The sequence below is a fragment of the Homo sapiens genome, chromosome 6, assembly GCF_000001405.40.
Source record: "Homo sapiens chromosome 6, GRCh38.p14 Primary Assembly".
Taxonomy (NCBI): domain Eukaryota; kingdom Metazoa; phylum Chordata; class Mammalia; order Primates; family Hominidae; genus Homo; species Homo sapiens.
In genome coordinates this window covers 168975044-168990548 of record NC_000006.12, presented here as the reverse complement: position 1 = coordinate 168990548, position 15505 = coordinate 168975044, and the positions used below count along the sequence as shown (strand labels likewise).

Here is a 15505-nt window from a genome sequence, read left to right as displayed (position 1 = left end):
GTCTGTTTGCGAACTCAGGCTGGTGCGTGGTAGGGTCTGAGTTCAGGGACTGGTTTCTAGGAACCTACGACCTGCGTGTTGATGGCGGCAGGCCTCAGAGGGGAGGCTCCATCTGGGAGGAGGAGAGACGATACCTTCTGGGGGTCTTGGCACAGGTGCTGCTTGTACTGTTCTTTATCAGCTAGAGATTTGTGTAGACTTTGCTGTATGTTTGCTGTATCCCAGCTGGAAAAAGAAAAAACTAGATTCATCCTCAGATTTAAACTTGGGGGTAGAACAAGCCAGCTTATCCCATAATGAAAAGAATTTCCTGACTCCAGCTCAGTTTCTGAGCAGAAGTGGCAGCGTATGTACTGTGGAAATGAATTCAGCCACGAAAGACAGAATTACTTAATAGTTGTAAAAGGCTTGGAGCAGGGCCTTGGAACACATTATTATATGCCTTTATAAAAATTGCATTAAAATAACTGCGAGTGGTTGGAGAAGGCCACTGCTGGTGATAAATGTGTGACGAGATACATAGAGAAACAGGCACATAGTACTAATGAATTTTAAAAGAAGATAGAAAAGAAATGGAAATGGATGGGAAAATAAAATAGGCAAGTTCTTTTTTTTGTTGTTTTTTTTTTTTTTTTTTGAGACAGACTCTTGCTCTGTCACCAGGCTGGAGTACAGTGGCGCCATCTCACTGCAACCTCCGACTCCCTGGTTCAAGCAATTCCCCTAAAATAGTCAGGTTCTTTTAAAAGCGTATAAAACTTACAGCAGAAAACTGCTGTTCAAAACATTTTGAATCAAAACCCAACCCTATGTAATTCTGTGGTAATGACCTCACCAGGGAACCCCGTATAATTGTGAGATTATTTTGTCTGAAACATGGGTATGAGGCAAGTTCTTAAGTGAGATGTTCCTTTTTAAAGCAGGCTATGGGAAGAGGAACATGAAAATATCATTTCTCACTGAGCTTGCCGAATAAAGGTTGTCATGGAAGAATCGCTTTGATGGAAAGGTGATAACAGCAGGGCTAAGGTCCTTCATTGTTGCAGCTAAAGATCAACTTGTCTCTATTCTGTTCTTTCAGAAGCTTCAGTGGCACCTTGTACATCGAGCTAAACTTTAAAAGCAGTTCAAGTATGTGTTTATCCTTAGTTCAATCTTGGATGAACTAGAGTTGGACAGAAAGGATTTTCTGTGCACAGATATGAAAAGAATACAACCAACTGAAATTACCTTTGGAAATAAATCTCTCACCAATGTCATTAATGAAAGAATGAGAGCTCCTATTTCTGGGAAAAACATAATTTCAAGTATGTTGCGTGGGTTTGAAATGTCATTGTCACCCTCCCTTCTGTATTTTACTCTTGTGAGGTTACACTAGCAGAAGGCCTTTAACCTGTGCCGTATATGTATTTTGAGTTCCTGGGTAACAAACTGCAACCTAATTTAGTACTTAAGCACACAGACATTGAACTTGGTAGTATATTGTTTTGTAACAGCCAGGTTTTAGCCAATTGCAAGCAGTTGGACTTTAGCCAATTGCAGGCAGCCAACTCATCACAAGATAGTCAGTGTATTCAATGGGTATTACAGCACATGGAAATGAGAAGTATTATCAGTATTTTTACAAAGATTTTAACGTCTTTAAACAGACTTTTCAAAGCAGTAGTGGAAGAGAGAGAAAGTAAGAGAGTGCAAAAGACTGAGAGTGAATTTGTGGATACAGTGAGGAGGGAGACAGCAGCATTTAAGGATGTGCTGAGTTGAATCGAACCTATGGGAAGATGTTTGTAGACAATTGTGCTAATGAAAAGAGAAGAAAAAATAAAACACACTGATGAAAAGACTGGACCATTACTACTGACATCTTGCTAGACTAAGGCTTGATTTGGCTTACATTTTAGTCATGAGAATGGTCATTTTCCTCTCTGGAAACCATTTTCAAAAATTTATGAGTAAGTAAAATTTTCTGCTTTATAGCCCAAGTCTCTTGCCCCATCTCCAAAGCTAGGGAAGGATGGAAGTGTGCTGGCAAACATGTTCAGACTCTGCTCGGAGGACACGACACTATTCTTAGTACTGCCGACTTAAGAGGAATGTCCATTGAAGTGAACCGTGTCGAACAGTTTTGAAACCAATGTTTCTTGGAGCCTGAGACCTCAAGTTCTGAGTATTCAAAATTTGTGACCTGGGGATTGCATTCGTCCAAAAGGAACCACCTTATGTGACTCCCTGCAAGGCTCCTGAAATAAAAAAAGAGGCCTGTCCCACCAGACGCCATCAGCCCAGAGTGAAGGGGTCACTCTCAGGCCAGGTGGCCCTGATTGTCACTAGTTCCTTTGAATTGATCAATTACCCACATTAACGTGGATCTAGGGATAAAATTGTGACTGAGTACTTCTCTTGCTCTTTAGCAATACAATTGTTTATCAGTTTAACAAAAGTCACTTCCCCAAGTCTATTTACAACTTTGAACCTCGGAATCTCCATCTCAGAGCCACCCTCAAATAAAATGGCTTCCCACCAAGTTTCCTCTCCTGCAGCCACTGGTAACACAAATTTATGCTACCACCCGAGGGGTCCAGAGAGCCAGCGCTCATGGTGCTATTACCAAACACCTGGGTTTTGATTTTCCTTTGCTCCTCCTCAGCCATGTCAGAAAATTTAATAATACAATAAACATTGACAGTTGACATAAATTATAGCTATGTATTATCCCTTCATAATAATTTATCATATGAATGTAGAATTCACCATGCTCTTTACCACATTCAAATTCTTTGATTTATTTAATTTGTAAAGCATACCATGAAATAGGTATTATTTTCTATATTTTAAAGATAAGAATATTAAAACTTGTATTTATGCAATGCCACAAAGGCCACAAAACAGCCAGGACCAAACATGTATCTTGTAACAGAGTAAGTGCTCTGTTCATGCCAAACAACTGTTTTCTCCCTCAACTGTCTGAATGATGCCACTTAAAACATTATAAAACCATTATTTTTAAATGTGAATTTTATGATACAGGTGCAGCTAGATCAGTGGAATAGAATAGAAAGCTAAGGAATACAGTGGGACCTTGCAGCACAGTCAAAATTCTGAAGCAAAATTCTCAGTATAATCATCCTCAAATAAATTCTCACATGTCCTTAATAAATGTGTTCACTAAAACTTGACACAAATGCAATGTACCACTAAAATGCATGTACAGATGCACACGTGATGCATGCATACACATACAAGTATGTGCACAGAGTTACGTGCATACACACGCATGCACAATAACACTGATCAGACAAACATAGATGGAAGAGAAATGAATCAGAGGGAAAAAGCACACAGAAAGCAACACACCTTCTCTCCACGAGCTTTCTAAATGGGCCATTTCTCATCCTAGAAATGTTGCTCTTCTGGAGTAAGGGAGAGTCATGACTTTGGAGCCAGGCAGCCCAGGTCTGAATCCCGGCACTGTATTATTTATTTATTTTTTGAGGTGGAGTCTCCCTCTGTTGAGCCAGAGTTTCGCTCTTGTCACCCAGGCTGGAGTGCAGTGGCACAATCTCGGCTCATGGCAACCTCTGCCTCCCAGGTTCAAGCAATTCTCTTGCCTCAGCCTCCTGAGTAGCTGGGTTTACAGGCATGCACCACCAAGCCCGGATAATTTTTGTATTTTTAGTAGAGATGGGGTTTCACCATGTTGGCCAGGCTGGTCTCAAACGTCTGGCACTTTGTAATCTTTATGCTATTTACAGCCATTGTGACCTTTTGGAAAGTTAACCAAACTGTGTTTAATGGCATCAGTTGAAATATTGAAAAAATAACCATGCCATCTCCTAGGGTTTGCAGCGATCAAATGAGCGAGTGTCAGAACAGTGCTCAGAATAAGGACTCAGTACGGATCAGCAATATTGTATTTTGGCCTGGCAAAACTTGAATATTTAAAAAATAGAGTTTACAAAATAGGAGAAATTAAGGGCAATGACCCTGGTGTTAGCTAGACCTAAGTCCTACTCACAAACCCTACACTAAGCACATCAATAACCCTCTGTGAGCCTATTTTTTCTAATATACAAGAATAAAGGTATTAATCACCTCATTATATTATGAAATTTATAACAAGAACAAAGGCTTTAAATGGTAAATGTGTGTTAGTGATTTCATTTTCATTTCTTTTTTCTTCCATCTTACTTTAGTATGGTGCATGTGGCAATTAATGGACCAATACTGATATATTCTTAACAACTCAAGTTGTACTTCATTCAGATGTCCTTGGTTTTTACTTGAGGTCTTCTTCTGTTTCCCCACCCTGCCCAGGATCCCACATGCTACCGAGTCCTCAGGTCTCCCGGCTTCCTCTCAGCTGTGAAAGTTTCTCGAGCATTCCTTGTCTCGATGACCTTGACAGCTCTGAGGAGCACTGGCTGGGTGCTTTGTCGAATGCCTCTCTATTGAAATTTGTCTAGTGTTTTCTGATGGTTGGACAGGGCTTTCGGATTTTGTCTGTGTGTATGAGGAAGACCACAGAAGTGAAGAGACATTTCCATCCCATTATACTCTGGTTATGTACAAACAACATGATTCATCACTGTTGACGTTCACCTTGATCACCTGGCGGAGGAGGGATTTCCTGGGCTTCTCCACTGTGATGTCACTGTACTTCCTCCCTGTGCACATTCTTTCGAAGGAAGTCACTATGTGCCATCCATACTTAAGCAATGAGGGTTGGTGCTTCCCCCCATTGAGGGTGGGTTATCTACCTGTTATTGGGAATGCTTCTGCAGGGAAATTTGCCTTCCTTCATATTTATTTACTTATTTAATCATTTGTTTATATTTTTATGGAATCATGGATATATATGTTATACTTTTGGTTATAATCCATTACTACTTTTGTTTTGTTTCAAATACTTCTAGCTTAGCCACTGGGACCCCTTTCAGTTGGCTCCTGTCCCCCTTTAACAAGTCCCTCAGTGGGGTGCTGAGAGATAATGGCCTCTGGTTTCCCTTCTGATAATGTTTTCATCTGGCTTTGCCCTTAGTGTAATCCTGATCACATAGAATTATGAGAGGTAGGAAGTGAGATCTCTGTTTCTATTTTCTGAAAGACATGACAGAGAATTGGCATCACTTCTTACTTAAAGGGTTGGTGGGACTCACCTATAAAACCATCTTGACTTTGTTTTCTTTGTTGAATAGTTATTAATTATTGATTCAATTTTTTAATGGATATATGCGCATTGAGATCATTTATCTTTGAATAAGTTTTTGTAGTTTGTGTATTTCAACATAGCAGCCCATTTCATCAAAGTGATAGATTCACTGGGTATAGTTGTTTATAGGATTCTTTTACTATCCTGTTACTGTTCGTGAGATTTGTAGTGGACTCTACTCCTTCATTTCTCATGTGGGTAACTTGTGTCTTCGCTCCTTTTTTTTCTTGGTCAGCTGGCTATAATTATATCAATTTTATTGGTCTGTTCAAAGAAACAGCTTTTGTTTCATTGTTTTTCTCTATTGTATTCCTGATATGAATTTCACTGATTTCTGCTTTGACTTTTAAAATTTTATTTTCTCCAGTTGCTTCATGTTTAAATCGCCCATATTTCTCTAGTCTCCCACTGAGGAAGGTTAGATTATTGATTTCAGAGTTGTCCTTTTTTTCTAAGATATAGAGTCAATGCTACAAATTTTTCTAAGCACTGTTTTTTTTTCTTCCCACAAAATTTTGTAATTTCTATTTTCATTTTCATTGTTGAACGTTTGTCTTAATTTCTCTTGGGACTTCATGTTTAACAGATATGTAATTTAGTAGCACATTGCTTAATTTTCAAATATTTTGAAGCATTTCAGCTATCTTTCTATAATTAATTGTATTTTAATCCCACCTGGTTAATACTCTGCTGCTACTAAACAGAGGTGCTTAAAATCGCCAGTGTAGCAGTGCATTTGTTGATTTCTCTTCGTTGTTACATTAGTTTCTGCCTCACATAACTCGAAGATCTTTTATTAGGTGCATACTTGTTTTCTTTGCAAAGAATTGATCATTATATAATGTCACTCTTGTTTTAGCTTTATTGAGGCGTAATTGACAACATGTATATATACTTAATACATACAAGGTGATAATACATGTATACATTGTGAAATGATTACCACAATCAAGCTAATTAACACACCCATCACATCACATAGTTGCCATTGTGTGTGTGTGTGTGTGTGGCGAGAACACCTAAAATCTTCTGTCTAAGCAAACCTCAAATATAATACACTGTTATTAACTATAGTCACCATGCTATACATTAGATCCCCAAAATGAATCTATCTTATAACTGACAGTTTGTACCTTTTACCAACATCCTCCCAGTAAGCAGCCCCCGACAACCAGCATTATACTCTTCATTTCTACGAGTCTGACATTTTTACATTCCACACATAAATGAGATGCTACAGTATTTGTCTTTCTGTATCTGGCTTATTTCACTTAGCAAATTGTCTTCTGGATCTAGTCATGTTATTGCAAATGGCAATATTTTATTTTATTTTGAGGCTAAATAATATTTCATTATATAAATCGGGTTTGTTTGGTGTTTTCTTTTTCTTTGGTTGTGAGCACGGCCAGGCTGGCTGGAGTACAGTGGTACAAACATGGCTCACTGCAGCTTTGACCTCTCAGGCTCAAGTCATCCTCCTGCTTCAGCCTCCTAAGTAGCTGGAACCACAGGTGCACGTCACCATTAGGTCCTGGGCTTTTCTTTGATGAGAGACTTTTATTACAGCTTCGATTTTGTTACTTCTTATTTGTTTGTTGAGGTTTTCTATTTCTTTATGGTTCAATTTTGGTAGGTTGTGTATTTCTAGGAATTTATTCATTTCTTCAAGATTTTTCCATTTTGTTGGCATATAGTTGTTCAAAATAGTCTCTAATGACTGTATTTCTGTGGTCTCAGAAATGGCTTCTTTCTTGTTTCTAATGTTATTTGAATCTTCTCTGTTTTATTTAAGTCCAGCCAAAGATTTGTCAATTTTGTTTATCTTTTCAAAAAACCAACTTTCTATTATGTTGAACTTTTGTATTTTACTTTAGTCTCAACTTCATTTATCTCTGCGCTGATTTTTATTATGTCTTTCCCTCTATTAATTTTGGATTTGGTCTGTTCTAGCTTCTCTATCTCCTTGAGGTGCATTATTAGGTTGTTTATTTGAAGTATTGCTAGTTTTTGATATAAGCTTTTATTGCTATAAACTTCCTTGTTAGTACTGCTTTTGCTGTATCCCGGAGGCTTTGGTATGTTGTATGTCCATTTTCATTTGCTTCAAGAAATTTTAAAATTTTCTTCTTATGTTCTTCATTGACTCATTGGTCATTCAGGAGGACATTGTTTAATTTCCACGCGTTTGCAAAGTTTCCAACAAGCTCCTCTTGTTATTGATTGCCAGTTTTATTCTGTTGTGGTTGGAAATGATTTTTAATATTATTTCTCCTTTTAAAATGTGTTCAGACTTGTTTTGTGATCAAAGATATAGTCTATTCTGGGAATGTTCTACGTGCTGATGAAAACGTTTCATGTGCAGAAGATTTGGGTGCAGCCTTGCTTGTGTATTTTGTTTGCAATGCTTGCGTTCTTCGTGACATAACTAAATTCATTGCCACAATCAGTGTCAAGAAGATTTTTCCCTATGTTTTTGCCTAACAGTTTTATTATTCCAGATCTTACATTTAAGTCTGAAATTCATTTCCTTTTGAGTTATTTTTTGTGTGTGTGGTGTAAGACAAGGGCTTAATTTGTTTTTGCTTTTGTTTTGCTTGTGGATATTCACTTTTCCAAACACCATTTATTTGAAGAGACTATCCTTTCCACACTGTGTATGCTTGGCACCCTGACCAAAAATTACTTAGTAGAATATGTGTGTGGGTTTATTTCAGTTCTCTCTATTCTGTTCCATTAGTCTGTGTGTCTGTTTTTATGACAGTATCATATTGCTTTGTAATGCTGTATCATATTAAGGCTTTAAAATGCAGTTCGCTATCAGGAACCCTAATGCCTCGGGCTTTGTTCTTCATTCCCCAGAGTGTCTTGGCTATATATTTATATACTTAAGTGTTCCAACGTTGAGTGCATATGTACTTGTAGTTGTTATAATCTATTAATGAATTGACCTCTTTATTATTACATGATGACTACTTTGTGTCTTGTGATACTTTTTACTTAAGGTCTATTCTGTTTTGTACAAGTATAGCCACTCCTTCTCTCTTTTGGTTACCACATGCATGGAATATCTTTTTGCATTTTTTCACTTTCAACCAATATGTGTCATCAAAGTTAAAGTAAGTCTCTTGGAGGTACCATATAGTTGAATTTTTTAAAAAGTACTCATTTAGCCACTTATGTTTTTGATTGGAGAATTCAATCCATGTACATTTAAAGTAGTTATTGACATGTAAGGACTTACTACTGCCACTTTGTTAATTGTTTTCTGTTTATCCTAAAGATCTTTGTTTCATTTCTCCCCTCTTGCTGTTTTTCTTTATGATTTGATGATTTTTTGTAGTGATATGTTTGCATCTCTTCTCTTTTTCTTTTGTGTATCTACTGTGCTTTTTTTTAATTGTGTGATTACCAGGAGGTAAATAAAACAACTTATAAATAGTCTACATATAAAAACTCTACATTTTAACCTCTCCACTCACATTTAATGGTGTTGATATCACAATTTACATGTTTTATATATTGTATGTTCATTAACAAATTATTATAGTTATAGTTATTTTAATACTTTTATCTTAAACATTTTTATTACAGTAAAAGTAATTATACACCCCCATTACACTAACAGAGAATTCTGATTTGACTATATTCTTTCCATTAAAGTGAGTTTTATACTTCCATATGTTTTCACGTTGTTACCTGGCATCCTTTCAAATAAACTTGAAGAACCTTTTTTAGCATTTCCTGTAAGGCATGTTTAGTAGTGATTATCTCCCTCACCTTTAGTTTGTCTGGGAATGTTTTTATGTCTCCTTCATTTCTGAAGGTCAGTTTTTTTCAGGTAAAGTATTTTTGGTAGGAAGTTTTTTCTTTAAGTCCAACACATTAAAACGATTATGTGTTATCCCTTTCCCCCTCACCTGCAAAATTTTGTCTGAAAAATTTGCTGATAACCTTGTGACAGTTGTCTTGTACGTGATGAGTAGCTTTTCTCTTGCTTCTTTCTAAGTTATTTTTGTCTTTGAGTTTTGACAGTTTATATATAAAGTGTCTCAGAGTAATTTTCTTTGGATTTTTTTATTGGCAATAATTGAGACTCATGAATTTGGATGTCCATATCTCTTCCAAAATTTGGGAAGTTTTACCAATAATTTCTTTAAATAAGTTTCCTGTCCCTTTCTCTCTCTTATTTCCTTCTGGAACCTCCATAATGTTTATATTTGTTGGTTTGATGGTGTCCCATAGGCTTTATATGCTTTCTCCAATGTTTTTCTATTGTTTCCTCTAACTGGCTAATGTCAAAGAACCTGTCTTCAAGTATACTGAGTCTTTCCTCTATATGACTGAGTCTGCTGTTGAAGTTCTCCATTAAATTTTCAGTCTGTCATTGAATTCTTCAGTTCCAGGATTTCGAATTTGTTCTTTTTATGGTTTTGGTTTATTTATTCTCATTTTATCCATGCATTGTTTTTCTGATTTTTGTTTAGTTGTATATATGTGTTTTTTATACCTCATTAAGCTTCATTAAGGTGATTATTTTGAATTTATTGTCAAGTAATTTCTAGGTCTCTATTTCTTTGGGATAGGTTACTGGAGCTTTATTAGATTCCTTTCATGGTGTTTTGTTTGCCTGATTTTTTGAGATTCGTAGAGCCTGTATTGGTTACTGTGCTTTTGAAAGAATAAACACCTCTACCAGTCTTTAAAGATTGGTTATGGCAAGTAAAGACCTTTCTCTGCCAGTTTCCTGGGCTGATGGAATTACTTCTAGGACTGTAGTAAAGTGGAGTTTGAGGCAAGTTTGGTGACCACTGCTGGGTCTGAAGTGGGTTCTGCAGTTGGCAGACCTGTTATCAGGGATGCTGGCAAGCATGGATCCTGCTTGGTTTATGGATGAATTGGACTGCTTCTGGAACCTTGGTCCATAGGGCTGGTGGACAAAAGTTCATTTCAAGGTCCACAGTTAGGTCTGTAGATTACCTGCCACCAAGTGCACAGGTAGATGTAGTTCCCACTGGGTTACTGGGCAGATCTCTGGGTGGGAAGGTCTTGCCCTGGACTATAGCTGAGTAGGACTGAAATTGGGTGACAGTTACTCTAAGATCCACAGTGGGACTAAGTTTGATGAGCCTGTCTTCCAGAGTACAGAGAGGCATGTCTTCTGCTGGGTCACTGGGCTGGACAATGCACTTCTTTTCTTTGATAATTGTCCTTGTTCTAAAGTCTGTTTTGTCTCAATTTAATGTAGCTACTCCAACTTCCTTTTGACTAGTGTTAGCATAATGGATCTTTCTCTATCACTTTACTTGTGCTCTATGTAAGTGGCTGTATTTAAAATTGGGTTTCTTGTAGACAACATATAGTTGGATCTTGCTATTTTCATATACTCTGACCATCTCTGCCTTTTAATTTTATCTGGCTAGAAGTCAGAATACATTAAATATCTTATCTAATTGTAGGTGTCTAATTGTTTCTAGTTTTCATGTTTTGGTCTGCAGCATATACTATAAGCTTCTGTAAGTGCTCCTTCACAGAGAGAGTCTGTTCCTTGACACTCTTTCTGCTGTAACCCACTGTTATTATATCGAATCCCTGTTAATGTGGTGGTAGAGTATGGGCAGATACTCTAAAATAATCTAGAATAAACTATTTTTTCTAAAGTAACTGTTTCAGAAGTCCTCTGTTCCTGGACTGTGACTTTCCAAGTGTTTATTTGCTTCCTTTCTTCCTTAAGTGAAACATAAAAACTAAAATGAGCTGAAGTTGAATAACTGTCCTTCCTTTAGCTCTGGAAAGGCTCTTGCAAAGGCCTTACCCTTTTGTTATGTAGAAGGCTCTAGTTGTGTTTATAATTGTTACTCTTTCCATCCGCCTGTCTGAGCCAACAGGAGGTCTTTCCTGAGAAGATTTTTTTTCAGATCTTCACCAGCAGAAACTGGTTTTCTTCCTGGCTGTAAAGCCCAGGAAAATTTTGAGGTCTCCATAAGAATACGTTTCCTGGAGTCTCTCAGTCTCACGTTTGTCCAAACTCAGCCTCTGATAATTCACCAAAATGCCATTTAAGTGTTGCTACCATTGATAGCACCTGCAGCTTCTGCTGTAGGTAAGTTTATCTCAGCTGTGATGCTCTGTATTCATCTCTCGAGAGAGATTTGAAGATAGCAATTTGCTCTGCAAACTTAATTCTCTGATTCATCCAAGGGAAGTCAGTGATTTTTAGTTTTTTTTCTTTTGTTCCCATTTCTTCTTCTTTTTTTTTTTTAATTTATTATTATTATACTTTAAGTTTTAGGGTACATGTGCACAATGTGCAGGTTAGTTACATATGTATACATGTGCCATGCTGGTGCGCTGGACCCACTAACTCGTCATCTCTCATTAGGTATATCTCCCAATGCCATCCCTCCCCCCTCCCCCCACCCCACAACAGTCCCGAGTGTGATGTTCCCCTTCCTGTGTCCATGTGTTCTCATTGTTCAATTCCCACCTATGAGTGAGAATACACAGTGTTTGGTTTTTTGTTCTTGTGATAGTTTACTGAGAATGATGATTTCCAATTTCATCCATGTCCCTACAAAGGACATGAACTCATCATTTTTTATGGCTGCAGAGTATTCCATGGTGTATTTGTGCCACATTTTCTTAATCCAGTCTATCATTGTAGGACATTTGGGTTGGTTCCAAGTCTTTGCTATTGTGAATAATGCCGCAATAAACAGACGTGTGCATGTGTCTTTATAGCAGCATGATTTATAGTCCTTTGGGTATATACCCAGTAATGGGATGGCTGGGTCAAATGGTATTTCTAGTTCTAGATCCCTGAGGAATCGCCACACTGACTTCCACAATGGTTGAACTAGTTTACAGTCCCACCAACAGTGTAAAAGTGTTCCTATTTCTCCACATCCTCTCCAGCACCTGTTGTTTCCTGACTTTTTAATGATTGCCATTCTAATTGGTGTGAGATGGTATCTCATTGTGGTTTTGATTTGCATTTCTCTGATGGCCAGTGATGGTGAGCATTTTTTCATGTGTTTTTTGGCTGCATAAATGTCTTCTTTTGAGAAGTGTCTGTTCATGTCCTTCACCCACTTTTTGATGGGGTTGTTTTTTTTTTTCTTGTAAATTTGTTTGAGTTCATTGTAGATTCTGGATATTAGCCCCTTGTCAGATGAGTAGGTTGCGAAAATTTTCTCCCATTTTGTAGGTTGCCTGTTCACTCTGATGGTAGTTTCTTTTGCTGTGCAGAAGCTCTTTAGTTTAATTAGATCCCATTTGTCAATTTTGGCTTTTGTTGCCATTGCTTTTGCTGTTTTAGACATGAAGTCCTTGCCCATGCCTATGTCCTGAATGGTAATGCCTAGGTTTTCTTCTAGGGTTTTTATGGTTTTAGGTCTAACGTTTGAGTCTTTATTCCATCTTGAATTGATTTTTGTATAAGGTGTAAGGAAGGTATCCAGTTTCAGCTTTCTACATATGGCTAGCCAGTTTTCCCAGCACCATTTATTAAATAGGGAATCCTTTCCCCATTGCTTGTTTTTCTCAGGTTTGTCAAAGATCAGATAGTTGTAGATATGCGGCGTTATTTCTGAGGGCTCTGTTCTGTTCCATTGATCTATATCTCTGTTTTGGTACCAGTACCATGCTGTTTTGGTTACTGTAGCCTTGTAGCATAGTTTGAAGTCAGATAGTGTGATGCCTCCAGCTTTGTTCTTTTGGCTTAGGATTGACTTGGCGATGCGGGCTCTTTTTTGGTTCCATATGAACTTTAAAGTAGTTTTTTCCAATTCTGTGAAGAAAGTCATTGGTAGTTTGATGGGGATGGCATTGAATCTGTAAATTACCTTGGGCAGTATGGCCATTTTCATGATATTGATTCTTCCTACCCATGAGCATGGAATGTTCTTCCATTTGTTTGTATCCTCTTTTATTTTCCTTGAGCAGTGGTTTGTAGTTCTCCTTGAAGAGGTCCTTCACATCCCTTGTAAGTTGGATTCCTAGGTATTTTATTCTCTTTGAAGCAATTGTCAATGGGAGTTCACTCATGATTTGGCTCTCTGTTTGTCTGTTGTTGTTGTATAAGAATGCTTGTGATTTTTGTACATTGATTTTATATCCTGAGACTTTGCTGAAGTTGCTTATCAGCTTAAGGAGATTTTGTGCTGAGACGATGGGGTTTTCTAGATATACAATCATGTCATCTGCAAACAGGGACAATTTGACTTCCTCTTTTCCTAATTGAATACCCTTTATTTCCTTCTCCTGCCTAATTGCCCTGGCCAGAACTTCCAACACTATGTTGAATAGGAGTGGTGAGAGAGGGCATCCCTGTCTTGTGCCAGTTTTCAAAGGGAATGCTTCCAGTTTTTGCCCATTCAGTATGATATTGGCTGTGGGTTTGTCATAGATAGCTCTTATTATTTTGAAATACGTCCCATCAATACCTAATTTATTGAGAGTTTTTAGCATGAAGCGTTGTTGAATTTTGTCAAAGGCCTTTTCTGCATCTATTGAGATAATCATGTGGTTTTTGTCTTTGGTTCTGTTTATATGCTGGATTACATTTATTGATTTGCATATATTGAACCAGCCTTGCATCCCAGGGATGAAGCCCACTTAATCATGGTGGATAAGCTTTTTGATGTGCTGCTGGATTCAGTTTGCCAGTATTTTATTGAGGATTTTTGCATCAATGTTCATCAAGGATATTGGTCTAAAATTCTCTTTTTTGGTTGTGTCTCTGCCAGGCTTTGGGATCAGGATGATGCTGGCCTCATAAAATGAGTTAGGGAGGATTCCCTCTTTTTCTATTGATTGGAATAGTTTCAGAAGGAATGGTACCAGTTCCTCCTTGTACCTCTGGTAGAATTCGGCTGTGAATCCATCTGGTCCTGGACTCTTTTTGGTTGGTAAGGTATTGATTATTGCCATAATTTCAGATCCTGTTATTGGTCTATTCAGAGATTCAACTTCTTCCTGGTTTAGTCTTGGGAGGGTGTATGTGTTGAGGAATTTATCCATTTCTTCTAGATTTTCTAGTTTATTTGCGTAGAGGTGTTTGTAGTATTCTCTGATGGTAGTTTGTATTTCTGTGGGATTGGTGGTGATATCCCCTTTATCATTTTTTATTGCATCTATTTGATTCTTCTCACTTTTTTTCTTTATTAGTCTTGCTAGCGGTCTATCAATTTTGTTAAACATGGAAAGGAACAACCGGTACTAGCCGCTGCAAAATCATGCCAAAATGTAAAGACCATCGGGACTAGGAAGAAACTGCATCAACTAACAAGCAAAATAACCAGCTAACATCATAATGACAGGATCAAATTCACACATAACAATATTAACTTTAAATGTAAATGGACTAAATGCTCCAATTAAAAGACCCAGACTGGAAAATTGGATAAAGAGTCAAGATCCATCAGTGTGCTGTATTCAGGAAACCCATCTCACGTGCAGAGACACACATAGGCTCAAAATAAAAGGATGGAGGAAGATCTACCAAGCAAATGGAAAACAAAAAAGGCAGGGCTTGCAATCCTAGTCTCTGATAAAACAGACTTTAAACCAACAAAGATCAAAAGAGACAAAGAAGGCCATTACATAATGGCAATACAGGAGCACCCAGATTCATAAAGCAAGTCCTAAGTGACCTACAAAGAGACTTAGCCTCCCACACATTAATAATGGGAGACTTTAACACCCCACTGTCAACATTAGACAGATCAACGAGACAGAAAGTCAACAAGGATACCCAGGAATTGAACTCAGCTCTGCACCAAGCGGACCTAATAGACATCTACAGAACTCTCCACCCCAAATCAACAGAATATACATTTTTTTCAGCACCACACCACACCTATTCCAAAATTGACCACATACTTGGAAGTAAAGCTCTCCTCAGCAAATGTAAAAGAACAGAAATTATAACAAACTATCTCTCAGACCACAGTGCAATCGAACTAGAACTCAGGATTAAGTATCTCACTCAAAACTGCTCAACTACATGGAAACTGAACAACCTGCTCCTGAATGACTACTCGGTACATAACGAAATGAAGCAGAAATAAAGATGTTCTTTGAAACCAACGAGAACAAAGACACAACATACCAGAATCTCTGGGATGCATTCAAAGCAGTGTGTAGAGGGAAATTTACAGCACTAAATGCCCACAAGAGAAAGCAGGAAAGATCCAAAATTGACACCCTAACATCACAATTAAAAGAACTAGAAAAGCAAGAGCAAACACATTCAAAAGCTAGCAGAAGGCAAGAAATAACTAAAATCAGAGCAGAACT

General features: G+C 37.6%; 1 long non-coding RNA gene across 2 annotated transcripts in view, besides 1 other annotated feature; it reads right to left on the bottom strand.

Annotated features, from left to right (window-relative positions):
• LOC105378145 (uncharacterized) overlaps positions 1–15505 on the bottom strand; it is a 59736-nt gene that overhangs the window by 33563 nt on the left and 10668 nt on the right. For both annotated transcript variants that reach the window (XR_943300.3, XR_943299.3), the window contains exon 3: positions 135–225. This is a non-coding gene — a long non-coding RNA (uncharacterized LOC105378145). The remainder of the gene's footprint in view (positions 1–134; positions 226–15505) is intronic.
• Positions 10753–11395: an enhancer, noted in NCBI's record as "OCT4-NANOG hESC enhancer chr6:169379249-169379891 (GRCh37/hg19 assembly coordinates)". NCBI's record gives its function as "activates a minimal SCP1, AML or CMV promoter by ChIP-STARR-seq in primed H9 embryonic stem cells {active_cell/tissue: H9 hESC(primed)}" and the evidence as "EXISTENCE:reporter gene assay evidence [ECO:0000049][PMID:30033119]".